Here is a 17,607-nt window from a genome sequence, read left to right as displayed (position 1 = left end):
CTGTAATCCCAGCACTTTGGGAGGTCGAGGCGGGTAGATCACCTGAGGTCAGGAGTTCAAGACCAGCCTGGCCAACATGGTGAAACCCCATCTCTACAAAAATACAAAAATTAGCTGGTGTGGTAGCATGTGCCTGTAATCCCAGCTACTTGGGAGGCTGAGGCGGAAGAATCACTTGAATCCGGAAGGCGGAGGAGGTTGCAGTGTGCTGAGATCGTGCCATTTAACTCCAGTCTGGGTGACAGAGCGAGACACTGTCTCAAAACAAAACAAAACAAAAAAAAAGTGGTTCCATAAGATTATAAAACAGTTTGGCACTACTCATTAAAAAAAAATACACACTGTATTTTTACTGTACCCTTTCTATTTTTGGCTGTGTTTAGATTCACAATGACCCTGTTACGAATGCCTACAGTATTCAGTACAGTACATGCTGTAAAGGTTTTTAGCAACAGGCTGGACCATATAGTCTAGGGGTGTAATAGGCTATACCATCTAGATTTGTCTAAGTATACTGTTATGAAGTTCAAACAACAAAATCGCATAACAATATATTTCTCAGAATGTTTCTCTATTGTTAGGTGATGCGCAACTGTGTGACAACTTGTGAAATCATTTAGTAAATACTGGCATATGTACATAATGGACTACTATATAGCTATTTAAAAGGATATCTACTAGGTGTCTTATAGATAGTAATATGCTTACTTAGGTACAAACAGGATATCAAAGTTTATATGGAACTAAGCAACCTCTCAAAAAAACCCTATGCCTACTGAACAAAAAGAAAGACTGGATGGAAATATAGACCACAAGTACATACATCAAAACAATACATTGTACACCATAAATATATACAGTTTTCACTTGTCAGTTGTACCTGAGGGAAAATAAATAAATAGGAAAAAAAGAGATACATATCTGAAATTATTAAGTACCAAACAGGACTTTGAAAGGTATTACTTATGAAATCATAGATACGTTTTTTTTTCAGAAGGGAACATTTTCACTGTGTTCAATCTGATAGAACCTTTTAGGTTTTTTCTCATGGACTCTTTTCCTGACATTGTATACTTTCTGAAGTATTCATATTCGAATTTCTCAAATCTACTTTCAGTAATTCTATGACAACAAATGTGTTTGATTTAAATAAAAAAGGAAATACTTACTCCAGATTTTACTCAAAGTCTCAGCGGGTTTGGTAAACTGAATAATATTACATTCCTTGATAAGTTTAGTTATCAGTGTAAGAAAACTAAACAGAAGGCGATCTGCAGCTTTTTCTTCAGTTTCTTCCATGATCTAAAAACAAGACGGATGTAAATCAATGAAAACAACAATCTGAAAGTATCTGATGGACAATTTTACTCCAGCACATCAATCCACCCGTTTCTGAACCTCCCTCGGCACTCCTGACATTGTGGGCCAGATGATCCTTTCCTGTGGGGGCTGCCATGTGCACTGTAGGATGTTACCAGCATCCCTGCTCCTCTATGCTCTAGATCCCAGTAGCACCTCCACCCTCCAGTTGTGACAATCAAAAATGTTTCCAGACATTGCCAAATGTCACCTGGGGGGGTAAAATCGCCTGAGTTGAGAACCTTTGATCTTCATATACCATGAAGATACTTTAACTTGAATCCCCCAACCCCCCATTTTTTTTTTGAGTCAGGGTCTTGCTCTGTTAGCCAGGCTGGAGTACAGTGGCACGGTCCTCCTGCCTCAGCCTCCTGAAAAGGTGGAAATACAGGCATGCGCTACCATGCCTGGCTATAATGCTCATTTTAAAAAGTTCCAATTACACTGAATTTTTGCTTTTATGATAAAGGACACTGTTTGAACACAAATATTTAATTGATTAGCTATAAATAGCTATAGCTATAAATATAAATATTTAACCTATAAGCTGATATCTAATCTGTTAGCTACATCACCTCAAGTAAAACTATAAGTTAGAAAAGTTTTATTCCCTAGCAAATTACTTACATCTTTAAAGTTTTCAGGATCAATTTCCTTTTCAATCACAGGAAGGACAGTTCCAAGTCTTTTCTCAAAATCAACTCCTTCACTTTCCACAAACAAGCCACAGATCAGGGCAGCAAGTTGTCTATTTAAGCGCTACCAAAAATAAACCACAAGACAATGTCAAGAGAACTTGGGAGGCCTTTACTGAAACTGTAAAATAAAGGTGGGCATTATTTTGTCCTCAACATTCAGAGAAAATAAACATTTCTTTCTGATGCCAGAAATCAGTAAATTATGGAGCTTTGATGGCCAATATACAAAATGTGGGGAAATTTTTACACTCAAGAATAACATTTTAAAAAGAGGCATTATTATTATCCAGTGAATACTTTAATTTTTTTTTCCATTTTTAATTAAAAGGAAATGGAAAGAAGTCTCATGCCCACCCCACATTAAGTGGGTATGCAACAAGTTACTCATTAACACAGGGCACATGTTGTTTATGTTTCACAAAGATGGGCCAACAATGATGGTGGCAGAGGTACCAAGTGGATAAAAATTACATTTCAGTAATCGAATATGCAAAATTGGAAACAAAGGTATTCATCATTAGGAGCTGGTTAAGTAAATTATGTTACATTCATGTAGTGGAATACTTTCCTAACAATAACATAGTAGGAATACGGGTGATTTTTATATTACTTTTTATTTATTTTTTTTTTTTTTGAGACGGAGTCTCGCTCTGTCGCCCAGGCTGGAGTGCAGTGGCGGGACCTCGGCTCACTGCAAGCTCCGCCTCCCGGGTTCACGCCATTCTCCTGCCTCAGCCTCCCAAGTAGCTGGGACTACAGGCGCCCGCCACTACGCCCGGCTAATTTTTTGTATTTTTAGTAGAGACGGGGTTTCACCGTTTTAGCCGGGATGGTCTCGATCTCCTGACCTCGTGATCCGCCCGCCTCGGCCTCCCAAAGTGCTGGGATTACAGGCGTGAGCCACCGCGCCCGGCCTATATTACTTTTTATAACTTCTTACACTTTGGAAAACTTTAAGAATATACTATTTGCATAATCAGACAAAAATAACACTATTTGGGAAAAAAACCAATTCAACAGTGTATGACATATATTCTTACTTAAACTATGATCCCCAAAGCTAAGACTTGTCACTGAACTGTGACTAAAAGCAACGCACACCTTTTTTGCTCCAAACCAAGTGGTAACCATATCAAACAGCCAATCTTTTTTCTCGAGGCTGATTTTACCAAGTAGGGACTTGATTGTCATGGATGCCATCTTTTTGCACGTGGCAGAGTCATCATTGATCGTCATTAGACAAAGAGGGATAAAGAACATTCCGCAGTTCTCATGGAGCAGCCCCTAAAAGAAAAGAGGCACGTGTGAGCACTCAGAGTGGAATTCCTACAGATGCTCTAGCAAAGGGGGACTGAGGACTTCCAGGAGTCACGGGGCTTATCTCTGGGGTCACAGTACCTGAGGGAACGTGTCAAAGAGATAGGCGATCATTTCCAAGGTGGACTCTCTCCCGGTCTCATGTTCGTAACTAGGGGAAGGACATTAGGTGGATTTGTTAGTATCTTCTAAATTTACAAATAATTATTTAAAAAATGAAAATATTGTATCAAGGTGTCAGTTTACTTCTTAAAAAAATGGAAAATGCTCTGTTTTCCTAATTTTAATGCTTGTATGTATCCATTAAGCTATCACTGTACAATTTTAAATGTAAGTGTGTCAGATTTCAACATTCTCCTAAGTGGACTCTTATGACAATCAACGGTTAAATTAGATTGAAAAGCAACTCAGAGAACGGCTATATGAAGCCAAGCACAATGTCTGATTATCAAGTCAATGAGTCATATAACAGTATGCTCAGAGAATGTACCATTATACTTAGGCCCCATCCTTTTTAAGACAGCCGCCATGTTAAAGGGAAAGAAGAAACTACCCTCCGCCCCTGTGTAGTTAATAGCTTAAGCTTACTTCAGTTGAGCGAGCATGAATTCCAAGTTTGGTCTCAATTTGTCACCCAGGGGATAGTCAAGAATATATTTCAGAAAAACCTAGGAACAAAAGTCACACAGATGATTATTTGGATCTCACCTCTAGTATTCCTGTTTCCTAAGCTGCTTTCTGGAACTCACTGGTAGGTTATAAAAACTTTACAGAATGGCAATCAATCAGGCTTTCCAATGCACTCCAGCTAAATCTGCCTATGAAGTCAATAGCAACTGTGACCCTTCATTTCTCCCACCATTCATCTGGTCCTGCCCTATGTGCCTGACAGAGGCAAGCCCTGGCCTGCCACTGGCACTGTGGTTTAAGACTACAAATCTAAGCCCACAGGTTGGAAGCTGATCTCTCTGTGACAGGTGGTGACAGGTGTACCACAGTATGGACTGTGGTCCAATCTGGTATCTCCCCTTCAACAAGAATAACAACACAGTGATAATATCAATACTGATAATAATAACTAATGCATTTACTAAAAACCCTCTATGTGCCAAGCACTGCGTTAAGTGTTTCTCAGTTAAATCTCATCATTCCCTTAAGAAGTTCGTGATAATAGCCCATTTTCTAGTTGAAGGGAATGAAGTTGGCCGAGACAATAAGAAACTTGTTCATGTGACACTGCCAGAATTCCATGCCTAGTCTGTGTCCAAAGGCTGCACTTTCAAACCACTATGGTATCTAGCCTCCTTTATTAATAAACTGTGAGAACTAGGCGACATCATTCAAGTTTCCAAGCCTGCCTTTCCCTCGCGGTAAAATGGGGATACCGTTTCTTCTGAAGGGTACCTGTAAACAGAGGTCATGCATTTAAAGTGCTAGGCACACAGCTAGTGCTTAATAGCAGCTGACCCTTCTTCTTCCTAATAGTGGCCAAGCAATTATTTCCAGAGACATGCATCTTGCCTTCCACCCTGGCCTCCTCAGCAGCCCAAACCCACCTGCAACCCTGAGTTCCTATTTCCAACTTAGACCTTTCCACCTCTTTGGGCACAGTATGTGTTCATAAAATTAGAGATTGACAGATGTATAGATATAAACCTGATCCTGTCACTCCTCTCCCTAAGGATTTAAATAGCTCCTTGCTATTCTTAGAACAAAGCCCCACCAGGCACCATGGCTCACGCCTGTAATCCCAGCACTTTGGGAGGCCAAGGTGGGTGGATCACAAGGTCAAGAGATCAAGACCATCCTGGCCAACATGGTGAAACCTCATCTCTACTAAAAATACAAAAATTAGCTGGGTGTGGTGGTGCATGCCTGTAGTCCCAGCTACTCAGGAGGCTGAGGCAGGAGAATCACTTGAACCTGGGAGGTGGAGGTGGCAGTGAGCCGAGATCGCGCCACTGCACCACTCCAGCCTGGTGACAGAGTGAGACTCCGTCTCAAAAAAAAAAAAAAAAAAAAAAAAAAGAACAAAGCCCCAAATCTTTAACAAGACCACAAGGTCCTGCCCAACCTGGCTCCCCACCCCTCAATTCACTTACCTGTGTTGAGCTCCTCAACCAAGCTAAGCTCTCACTCACCTCAAGCCTCTACTGCCCCCTCACCTTGAAAGCTAAGCCTTTTTCTTCCTTCAAATTTTGGCCTGCCTGTCAGTCCCCAGAAAAAGCCTCCCCTGACCACCTGCACCAGGACGCCCAAGTCTCAGCATAAAGCAACAATACGACACAAGGTGGTCTTCAGAATTCAGCCAGTGTTGACACCTCTGCCACAAAGATGCGGCAGGGCCCAGCCCTTGCTATGGGGATAAGTGCTCTCTACAAACCTGTCTACACTGGACCCTGGCAGGTTCGCTTTGTGCAGAGACTGCCAACTTGGATACTTTCCGCATGACCTCATCGATTTCTGGGACCAACAGCTTTCTTGATAAAATTGCCTAAGATACAAAAGGAAAAGACATACTCATTTCATGTGTTTTGCTGCAGATGCGTGGAAGCAGATTTGACGCTAAAGCAACCACAGGACATTTTCAAACACAAGAAAGTATCTTCAAAAGAAAAAGGATAGACACTTAAGCACAAAGAACACACAACCCTTAAACATAACACTTCAAATGGGTAAAAATGGTGAATTTTTTAAAATGGTGAGTTTTATGTTATGTACATTTTACTAAGAAGAAAAACATATAAATAAAAACAGAATACCTGTATTTGTACAGAATTCCCCGGAAATGTTAATACAGAGCTCACATTTAAACATTTTTCATAAGCAAATGTTCACCTGTAATTGACCCACCAAAATCATAATAATCTTTACAAATTACTCAATTTCAGAAGTCTATGACTAGTCAAAACACTATGATCTATGTGTTCAAAATATCTGCTGTGAAACTCATAAACCGTAACAGTCAACATTCTGGCGACAGCATACCTTCAGAAGACCAAAGGCAGTGGCTTGTCTTGAAGTATCATAAATGTCCTCCTCAGCATAGGCCAGTAGAACTTGGAGCTGTTTTTCAGTTATCTGGTAAGACTTGACTTTCTTGACAAGTATGGTCACACACTGCAAGTTACAATAGTGATGTTAACAGCCAGCACATCCCACAGTTGGGATCCAGTGAAATGACAAGGACTTAACACAACACACAAGTATGCTTTTCCAAACAGGGTGCCAGCCCTCTAGCCTTGGCAAATTACTCTGGAAAAAATTTTGGCCATAACCACAAAGGGCAATGGGGAAAACTAACTTTGATGTTAATCCTGGTTCTAGCTTTTTATGAGTCAGGGTCTCGCTCTGTCACCAAGGCTGGAGTGCAGTGATGTGATCATAGCTCACTGCAGCCTCTAACTCCTGTCAAGTGATCCTCCTGCCTCAGCATCCCAAGTAGCTGGGACTACAGGTACACATCACCATGCCCAGCTAATTTTTTTTTTTTTTTTTTATGTAGACACGGGGTCTCGTTATGCTGACCCAGCTGGTCTTGAACTCTTAGGCTCAAGTAATCCTCCCACCTCAGCCTCCCAAAGTGCTGGGATTATAGGTACGAGCTATTGCATCCAGCTCCATCCTGGCTTTTTCCAAGGGCAAGTGAAGACATCTCACCTTGAAACAATTGACCACAAGGTGGAAGTTCTGGCCCCTGGCGGCCCCGAGCTTTGCATAGTCCTTCAGCAGAAGGAAGAGGTGTTTTGTCAGCTGCTCTGCTTTTGTTTCTATGGAAGGTAGCGGGAACCTCAAGACCCAGATGAGGCACTGTAAAGCACCTGTGATCACCTGAAAAAAACAAAACAAAACACCACCAACTTGTGATGTGACCGAATCCAACTATGCAGCACCTGAGGCTATGCAGACTCTTTAAATGATTGTGCTGAATAAATAAGATGCTAAGCGCAGCCCACTCTGGAAGAACTGTGCCCAAAATGTAAGAAGATAAAGACATTTACAATTCCTGGTTGTAGAAGAATTTATTGCTTATCCGTAACAATGGATCCTTATGATGGTAGATCATGAGGAAATAAGAAAAGGCACCATATTCTTTTTACAATTTAATCTTTGTTTAAACATTTTTGGGCTGGTCTTGAACTCCTGGGCTCAAGCAATCCTCCTGCCTCAGCCTCCCAAGTGCTGGGGTCATAGGCCTGAGCCACCATGCCCAGCCATATTTTTAACCTACTTATAGGGGTTTATGGAGGTTATATGATTTGGATAGGTTGGTCAATTTTACAATTTTTTTGGAAAAATACATCTTAAATGACTTTTCTGTTTTCTAGAATGGTACTTTAATGTAATCTACTCTTACTAAGCTTGAATTAGGTATACAAGGCACTCTACTGGGTATTATAAATACAAAGATAAAAAGGATACCATCTCTGCATTTATGCAGCAGACAGTTAACTCAGAAATCAGGCACGGGAACAATTGACTATCATTTAATATAGTTAAGTGCTATGGCAAAAGACATGGAAAAAGTGTGCTGAGATCCCTGAACCTCTAAGGCCAAACCTTTGAAAGCACCGGGATCAGCTAGTTCAGCTCCATCTAATAACACCCGTGCTGCTCTGGCTGCTGAGAACTCTTCAGTGGGCTGGATTAAGACACAGAAGAGCGAGCTTGGGAGTCGGAAAGACCTTGGCTTACATCCCAGCTCTGCAACTGATTACCTGTTTGACTCTAGAGATGTTACTTAACCTCTCGGCACCTAGGTTCATAGCCTAGATCTGTACCTAGGCCCTCGCCCTAATTTTCTCATTTATAAAACATAAATAGTAAGAATATATGCCTCAGGGGTGGTTGTGAGGATCAGAAATAATGTTCTTGGGATTCATAGCATGGAGCAGTAATAGTGACAAAGGTGATGATGATGATGATTGGTAAGGGGACAAAATCATTCACCCTCATGAAGTTGTGAGGATCCAGTGACATACTTAAGGTACCTAGGAGGGCTTTTAGAACTGTTAAAGGCTATCCAAATTTATAGAATTAGTAAATTGAGAAGTGATTTAATGTAGCAAATAGTGGTGGTTCACGATGTCATAAATCTCTTTAAAAACTCAATAATCTCGGCCGGGCACGGTGGCTCATGCCCGTAATCCCAGCATTTTAGGAGGCCAAGGAGGGTGGATCATCTGAGGTCAGGGGTTCGAGACCAGTCTGGCCAACAAGATGAAACCCCGTGTCTACTAAAAATACAAAAGTTAGCCGGGCGTGGTGGTGTGCGTCTGTAGTCCCTGCTACTTGGGAGGCTGAGGCAAGACTGAGGCAAGAGAATCCTTTGAACCTAGGAGGTGGAGGTTGCAATGAGTCAAGATTGCACCACTGCACTCCAGCCTAGGTGACAAAGTGAGACTCTGTCTCAAAAAAAAAAAAACCCAAAAACCCCAAAAAACCCACCAACCAAACAAAAACACCTCAATCATCTCATAAAGCTTGAGCCCAAATACAACCATTAGGTATTCTGCAAAACATAGTTCTTCTGAAGAAATAAATGCTCCAATGCAGAGTGCAAACCGATGCTTACCTTCACATCCATGGAGCCCAGGCAGTCTATGAGGAGAGACACAAAAGGATCCAGCATTTCCAGGACACATTCACCTGAAGACTTGATCTTGGAAGTCTTCAGACTCAGATGCAGCAGCTAAGAGAGTTCAAACAGGTATTTCACATTAGTTGCCCATTAGACCAGATGAGTTAGGTAAATGTGAAATGATGTTCAGAGAAAAGCAAGAAATGTTAAGATACTTCTATTAGAAATGATAAAACATTTTTAAGGAATGACAAACTGCCTGGGAGGGTCTCAGTAAGTCAAAGTGAGAGCTCGCTGTGCAGCTGAGATGCTACCACTGTTTACCAGTCAATTTTCTCAGCATCTACTGTGATTCCAGGCACTGGCTCAGTACGCAGGATATGGCAATAACCAGGATGGACATGGTCTCTGTCTTGATGGATCTTAGCTAGACTCTAAGGAAATGATGATGTGTACAGGTAGGGTGCTTTGAGAGTTCTGTGGGAATCTTTGTAGAGCAAAGAGTGGGTGGTGAGTTCCTAGGGCAGGAAAGAGTATGGTGACTTTCTAGATGGGAAGGGAAGCCAGGGTGGCTGGAACGTGTGTTAGAAAAATGCGAGTCAATGAAGGGTTTTAAAAAGGAAATGATTAGATTTATGCTTTTAAAAGCTCACCGTCTTTTATTTTATTTTTATTTTTATTTTTTAGAGACAGGGTCTCACTATATTGTCCATATTGGAGTGCAGTGGTGCGTTAATAGCTCACTGCAGCCTCAAACTCCTGGGCTCAAGTGATTCTCCCACCTTAGCCTCCTGAGTAACTAAGACTACAGGTACGTGCCATCATGCCTGGCTAATTAAAAAAAATTTTTTTTTGTAGAGATAGAGTCTTGCTATGTTGCCCAGGCTGGTTTCAGACTCCTCTCCTCAAGTGATCCTCCTGCCTTAGCCTCCCAAAGTGCTGGGATTATGGGTGTGAGCCACCATGTCTGGCCACTCACCATCTCTTAAAAAAATTCAAAGTAGTTCAGAGGGACTCATGGGCAAAGCATCAGTAAGACCTTAATACATATTAGAGCAGAATCATTAATTCTGGGACAGTTACATCTTCAATGTAAGTGCTGCAAGAGATAAATAGTAAATGGACCAATGCACCTGTAAAAAAAAAAAATCTAAAATGTATTTACAGTAAGGCATTTCCAATGGAAGTGAGCAGTACTAGAAATTCAACAGAAGACTAAAAGGTGCAGACTCCCTGAAAGTAGCAAGTCTCATTTTAAGGTTAATTCTTACCCGAAGCCCGGACTCAATAAATATGTGCATGTTGGTTTTCCTGCTCACAACAGCTTTCTGTCCACCTCGAACTGGAGTTGGGGGAAGCAGAAGGCAGCTCTGGGGTGGTAGACGTGGATCTGGTGCTGGGGCTACTGGATTTCTGTCAATCACGTGGCATGAGAAGAGGGTAAAGAACACTGTCAGCTGCATTCCAAGAAGTTAGAGTGGCCCTTCTAAAGTGACGAGAGCCCAGCACTAAATAATGTGCCATTTGCTTGGGTTTTGCCCCTCCCCAAACCCCCAAACCATGAGATACAGAAGAGATTATTAGGCTGTTGATTAAGGTTACTAGGACAACATATTTATATTAGGATCAACAGCAGGATACTCCCTTGTTTGATTTCTGAAAATAAATGCCAACGAGTCTCTCTTAGACCATAGAAGCAAGACCAAAATGAAGTTTACTAATATATAAGATTTTGTTTTTTGAGACAGTCTTGCTCTGTTGCCCAGCCTGGAGTACAGTGGCGCGATCTCGGCTCACTCCAACCTCCGCCTCCCGGGTTCAAGTGATTCTCCTGCCTCAGCCTCCTGTGTAGCTGGGATTACAGGTGCCCAGCACCATGCCTGGCTAATTTTTGTGTTTTTAGTAGAGAATGGGGTTTCACCAAGTTGGCCAGGCTGGTCTTGAACTCCTGACCTCAGGTGATCTGCCCTCCTTAGCTTCCCAAAGTGCTGGGATTACAGGCATGAGCCACTGTGCCCAGCCTGTAAGATATTTTAAAATCTTTTAAGGTCTCAATCTCTGTTTAATCAAAATACAAGATACAGATTTAAAATCTATCCTATCTTTGAATCAATAAATCTTTTTAAAAAATGGTATCAGAGAAATGCCAAAATAATTGGCTGTTGTCACTGCTACCTCATTTATGAGAAAATCTCATGTTGAAATGTATCACACCATAAAGTACCATCTGAGAACTCAGGTGGATATAATTTTATTTTTTACTAAAGCAAATTATTAAAACAACCCACAGAATGGCTTATCAGACGCAGAGACCTAAATGACAGTTTGTTTTTTTTCCAACTTACTTTTCTTTCTCTGTTAACAGGGGAAGATTTTCACTGATCAAACCATAACTGAGTAATAGAATGGATTCAGCTGTCATTTCCTGATTTACAATTAATCCCACTGTGATTCGGCGTAAAGTTTCATGAACTTTCCGGGCCAGTTTCAAACTCGTGGTATTTTGTAAGATCTAAAGGCAAAACATAAATGTCATGCTGAGATGACACAGAAATGCATTTTGATTTGTCATAATGGCAGTTTTCTTTTATATATTAGCTTTCTAATATACGTTTGGCTTTCTCCTAATTAAAAAGCATTCTTAATATAATTTCAAACACAGATATAACATATAAGGTGAAAGTTAACTATAATCTCAATCCCAGGAAGAACCACTGTGCAGGCTTGTGAGCCTCGGGGTTTCCTCCACTCCCTCCCTGTTCTCTGCTGGTGAGGCCTCAGGGCACAATGCCAGAGATATGAGACTTCTAAGTTAACATCAACTCTCCTGGTACATTAACAGGGGTGACTTAGAGGCAAACACACACACACACACACACACACACACACACACACACAATCAACAAAATGTATTCACTCCTCATAGAAAACCACGAGAATGAAGTGCTACTATGGCCAAGCCTCAGGGTCTGATATCAATTATTGGGCCAAATCAGAGGAACCTAATGGGAACCAGGATCAGCAACCTCAGGAAATACTTGGTGCTTCAGAGCTATTATCTTGCATGAGACATGGTATTAACTCTCAATACCTTGGAGGGACTTTTTAATATACATCACGGATATATGTGCTCTGTTGACTCTTTTTCATCCTGAAAATGCATCTAACATTCTTAGATAAGGCTCACATAAAACTAAATGCATTCTAGGAGTAATTATGGAGTTCATCTAGCACCAGAACATTTAGACCTAATGTAATTCATGTCAATAGATAGTGCTCTTTGCTCTAGTTTTAATACACAAAACTAATAAATTAATAACATTTACTGGATGTTCACCTCTGCAACAGGCACAGAAATCAATAGGAAGGTGGGTAAATTACATTCCCTGATCTTCAGGAGGCAGAATGAAACCATGGTAGGAATGTGAACTTGGATCAGAAAGATCTGGAACTAAACCCTATACCCTGACTTTTCTCTTTAACCATGTTCCTTTCTACCTTTCCAAGCCTGAATTTTCTTATTTGTAAAATGGAAGTACCATCAATCTCACAGGGTGTGCAGATTAGGAGAGATAATGTAGCAGTGCTTAGAATATAATATGTCAATAAATGCCAGTTTTCTTCCTCTTGGCAACCTGGAAGTGGCAATTTGTCCAAAGGCTTTCTAATATATATTTACTCCTAACTAAAATGAATTTCTTTGTAAATGTAAATATACATTTTTAAATAGAGACAGGGTCTTGCTATGTTACCCAGGCTGGTCTCAAACTCCTGGGCTCAAGCAATTCCTCCCGCCTTGGCTTTCCAAATTGCTGGAATTACAGGTGTGAGCCACCATGCTTGGCCTAAAACAAATTCTTAATAAAATTTCAAACATGGACATAACATATAAGGAAATGTTACTCACAACCTCAACCTCAAAGATAAGCACTATGCGGCTTGTGTGCCTCTGGATTTCTTCATGTTCTTAGCTGCTGACTTGACCCAGCTATAATATTCACCTGCACTCAATTCTTGTTGCCTTTCTTTCTCATCTCATGGTTTACATAGGGGACTATGATTTTTGAATCAAAGCATTCACTCACTGGCCATATGGTCCTGGGGCCCTATCACCAAAGGAAATCATGGGTGATCAAGAACAGTGTTTCAGTTTGCCCCGCATGGTTCCTTTTAGGAACTCATGAGATTGTAATGCTGTGATCTCCAGAATTGCATTTACGTCCTTACCTCTTTTAATGGAAGGATGAGTTTTGTAACCTGATCTTTTCCTACAAACTTGCCGAGGATTTCATAAGAGTCGTAACTTTTGCTTCTTCGTGCTTCCATGACTTTGGAGAGGATCTGCTTTACTTCCTTCTCTTCAGCAACAGCACCAAACAACTCATGGTTAAAAATCTTTGGAAGAAAAAGGACAAATGGCAATTATATGCACTCAGCAAGATATGCCAACATAAGCAGTCACTGAAAAAAGGCCCTGGTATGTCCAAATCAAAGAAATGCAAGTTGGACTGGACTCAAATTAGATGGAAGAAATTTCTTTTAGAATGCACTTGTTTTCAATGCAATTTAGGGACCAATTACTAAAAAAACAAACACATAAGAAACACTTAAAGGTGATACTAACGGGAAACAAAGAAAAATCCTTCACAGATGTACATATATAATTGTATGACTTTACAGACAGTTACTTCTTTTTTGATGTACCAAAGAGTAGCTTAATTTCCCTTCAAGAAGTTCTCAGAATATTTGCAATCTAATTAATTATTTACATTCTAATTATAAATTACAAATATTTGCAATCTAATTAATTATTAGTCTAATTAATTACCTTATTTTTTGATACAGAGTCCCACTCTGGCACCCAGGCTGGAGTGCAGTGGCATGATCTCAGCTCATTGCAACCTCCAGCTCCTGGGTTCAAGCAATTCTCGTGTCTCAGCCTCCTAAGTAGCTGGGATCACAGGCATGTGCCACCCCACCTGACTAAGTTTTGTATTTTTAGCAGAGATGGGGTTTCACCATGTAGCACAGGCTGGTCTCAAACTCCTGGTCTCAAGTCATCCACCCACTTCAGCATCCCAAAGTGCTGGGATTACAGGTGTGAGCCATTGTGCCTGGCCTAACGTAAATATTTAAATTGAGATTCAAAATGTTAGTGTCTACATTTTAAAACAAATGAACAAAAGGTTATGTGGCAAATTTATTATCTTCACAATGGTAGCCTCCAAATTAGTATACTATCCAATTTTGTTTTGTTTTGTTTTTTTGAGACAGAGTCTCACTCTGTCGCCCAGGCTGAAGTGCAGTGGCGCGGTCTGCGCTCACTGCAACCTCCACAGCCCAGGTTCAGGGGATTTTCCTGCTTCAGCCTCCTGGGTAGCTGGGATTACAGGTGCGCATCACCATGCCTGGCTAGTTTTTGTATTTTTCTTAGAGACGGGGTTTCACCATGTTGGCCAGGCTGGTCTCAAACTCCTGGACTCAAGTGATCTGCCCACCTCAGCCTCCCAAAGTGCTGGGTTTACAGGCATGAGCCACAGTGCCTGGCCCAATTTTAAAAGTTATTATTAATTTCCGACTGTATTATAAATAAAGCTCCTGTGAACATAACTTATTTCTTAAAAATAGATTCTTAGATGTGACTGAAAATCTTTTCTCATTTCAAAAGCTCTTGATACAAAATGGCAACTTACTTTCCGGAAAGATCATATCAATTTATGACCTCCTTGCAGTGACAGAGTGCCCATCTCGCTTTAGTCTTAGCTCTTTAAACCTCTGCTAATCTAAAAGATGAGGTGTTACATTATTTTCATTTTTATGGGCTATTATTATTTCTTATTTGGTGAATTGATTTTTTTGTGTCGTTGGCCCACTTAAAAAAAAATTAGAATTCGTTTCTGTAAGTCTTACCTCAATCATTATATCTAAACAAGAGTCCAAATCTCCGACCTGCAGCTTATTGGTGAGGCCTTGCAGCAGCATGTGAACGGTGAAAGTCAGCACATGGACCTAACATGAGACACACAGCAACAACATGAATATTAACAATGTCACACTAGGAAAACATAAGATCTAGGAAGCACTGCAAAGAGAACACTCAGAGTTTATATGTCTTTTATTGCCAGGAGAAGCTTCGACAAATGACACATAGTTATTTCACTATCTAAAATCCTGTAACCAAATGATCACTTTGTACCAAAGGTGTTCAGAAACCCACTACCATTCTTAGGATCTATTGTTGTGACTAAACCAGGCCAGTGATTTATAAAGAAAGGCACAAGAGTCTTGAACTTTATTTATTTATTTATTTATTTATTTATTTATTTATTTATTTATTTATTTTTGAGACAGAGTGTTGCTCTTGTAGCGCAGGCTGGAGTGCAATGGTGCGATCTTGGCTCACTGCAACCTCCGTCTCCCGAGTTTAAGAGATTCTTCTGTCTCAGCCTCCCGAGTAGCTAGGATTACAGTCACCCGGCATCGTGACTGGCTAATTTTTTTGTACTTTTTGTAAAGATGGGGTTTCATCATGTTGGCCAGGCTGATCTCGAACTCCTGACCACAGGTGATTTGCCTGCCTCAGCCTCCCTAAGTGCTGCGATTACAGGAGTGAGCCACCATGCCTGGCCAAGAGTCCTGAACTTTAAAGAAAGAAGACCAACCTGTGAATTAAGGAGCTTGCCCATGTTGAATGTAATCAAAGCTTGTAAATAAAATATTATGAAGGAAACAAGTTTTTGCACCCAACAAAAATCAAGCTGATGTTTTCTGAGAGCTTACTACAGGGTAGGTACTATATTAATACCTTACATGTATTAAATCATTTAAGCCTCACTCATCCAATCTATGGAGTAGGTACTACATCATCAGCAGTTTTTAGATGAGGAAGCTGAGGCGCAAAGAGGTCATAGGTAGGAACTGGTGGAGTGAAGATTAGAAACCAGAGTCCCAGGCTCCACAACAGGTTATCCTGCCTCTCAAGCTTTTTGAATTCTTTATGCTGCTTCTAGTGCTGTGAAATTAACAAGGTAAATATCAGATAATGATCATAGGCTAAGGAAACACATTTAGTTGTCAAAACGTAGATTGGGTCTTAAACGCATAGTTTCTTATGTACCTTCTTGTGGTCTTTTATTTTTTTGGAGGCAGAGTCTTGCTCTGTCACCCAGGCTGGAGTGCAGTGGTGCGATCTCAGCTCACTGCAACCTCTGCCTCCCGGGTTCAAGAAATTCTTATGCCTCAGCCTCCCGAGTAGCTGGGATTACAGGCATGTGCCACCATGCCAATTTTTATATACAGATATTTTTTAGTAGAGACAGGGTTTCAGCATGTTGGCCAGGCTGGTCTTGAACTCCTGACCTCAAGTGATCTGCCCGCCTCAGCTTTCCAAAGTGCTGGGATTACAGGTGTGAGCCACAGCATTCGGCCCCTACTTGTGATCTTTAAGTACTTTTATATATAGACGGTTCCCGACTTACAATGTTTTGATCTATGATTTTTCAACTTTATGATGGATTTATTGGGACACTGTCTCATCATAAAAGTCAAAAAGCACCTGTACTTGAAATGTTTGCTGTGAAATTAACATACATATTTTGAGACAGGGTCTTGCTATGTTATCATGCTGGTTTTGAACACCCTGGGCTCAAGGTGTTCACCTCCCACTTCGGCCACCTGAGTTGCTGGCACTAAAGGTACACACCACTGTGCCCAACTTTCCTGTAACTGTAAAAAAACCTTTTGGTGGAGGTGAGGATGACGAGTGATGCTCGAAGAGAACAATTTTGGTACAGTCTACATGATTAACACTAAAGCTGAAATCAGTTGTTCTCTCAACTCTAATTTAGTTATTTTAACTAATAATGGGATAGACTTGAAGAACAGATGGTTAGAGAAAAAAAGGGCTACTCATTTAAACACCTCAAGTGTTCCTTAAAAATGTGTGCATGAATCCTCAAGAACAGAGATGTAGTCCTCCTTGTATGTCCAGTTCTCAATATACCATGTCTCGCAATGCTGTGGTGGTGGCAGTGGCCTTGAAACGGGGAAGGGCAGGAGCTACAACTCTGGGAGGGGAAGCTTCCTCTCCATTCATTGGAACTACAGTTCTGAGAGGGTTGGCCTAGTCTAGTTGCTTTTCTCTTTCTGTGCTGCCATTGCTTGGCCCCTGACATGGGCACAGCTGCAGGAGGCACATGGCAGAGTGGGAAAAATAAAGCCCCAGTTTTCTAGCTGAAAGACTGAAACAAATGCAAAAATTAAGTGTCAGCAAAGAAACAGAAGATCTAAAGAAAAAATAAATGAAAATTTTAGAACTGAAAAACCCAAAAACTGAAATAAGAAACTCATTGGATGAGCTCAATTGCAGAAAGATATGAAAGAGGGAAGAGTCAGTGAAGCTGCAGATAGACTGAAAGAAATTATCCAACCTAAACAGAGTGGAAGAAGAGCTATATATATATATATATACACACACACATACATACACACACACACACACACACAGCCTCAGGAACCAGTGGGAGAAAAATAAACATTCATTTCACTGGAGTCCCAGGAGAGGAGAAAGAGTGCACTGCAGGAAATTTACTTTAAAAAATACTGGGGCTGGGTGCAGTCGCTCACGCCTGTAATCCCAGCATTTTGGGAGGC

General features: G+C 40.9%; 1 protein-coding gene across 1 annotated transcript in view; it reads right to left on the bottom strand.

The window, feature by feature from the left end:
- UTP20 (UTP20 small subunit processome component) overlaps positions 1-17,607 on the bottom strand; it is a 106,514-nt gene that overhangs the window by 9,693 nt on the left and 79,214 nt on the right. Inside the window, exons 44-56 of the mRNA NM_014503.3 lie at positions 14,866-14,964; positions 13,183-13,350; positions 11,301-11,467; positions 10,227-10,368; positions 8,950-9,066; positions 7,035-7,205; positions 6,363-6,494; positions 5,758-5,868; positions 3,963-4,042; positions 3,456-3,525; positions 3,159-3,341; positions 1,987-2,118; positions 1,170-1,302 (exon numbers count right to left, since the gene is read on the bottom strand). Coding sequence (NP_055318.2) covers positions 1,170-1,302; positions 1,987-2,118; positions 3,159-3,341; positions 3,456-3,525; positions 3,963-4,042; positions 5,758-5,868; positions 6,363-6,494; positions 7,035-7,205; positions 8,950-9,066; positions 10,227-10,368; positions 11,301-11,467; positions 13,183-13,350; positions 14,866-14,964 — 1,705 coding nt within the window. The remainder of the gene's footprint in view (positions 1-1,169; positions 1,303-1,986; positions 2,119-3,158; positions 3,342-3,455; positions 3,526-3,962; positions 4,043-5,757; positions 5,869-6,362; positions 6,495-7,034; positions 7,206-8,949; positions 9,067-10,226; positions 10,369-11,300; positions 11,468-13,182; positions 13,351-14,865; positions 14,965-17,607) is intronic.

Source organism: Homo sapiens, chromosome 12 (assembly GCF_000001405.40).
Source record: "Homo sapiens chromosome 12, GRCh38.p14 Primary Assembly".
NCBI classification, from domain to species: domain Eukaryota; kingdom Metazoa; phylum Chordata; class Mammalia; order Primates; family Hominidae; genus Homo; species Homo sapiens.
This window is presented reverse-complemented; position numbering and strand designations above follow the sequence as displayed.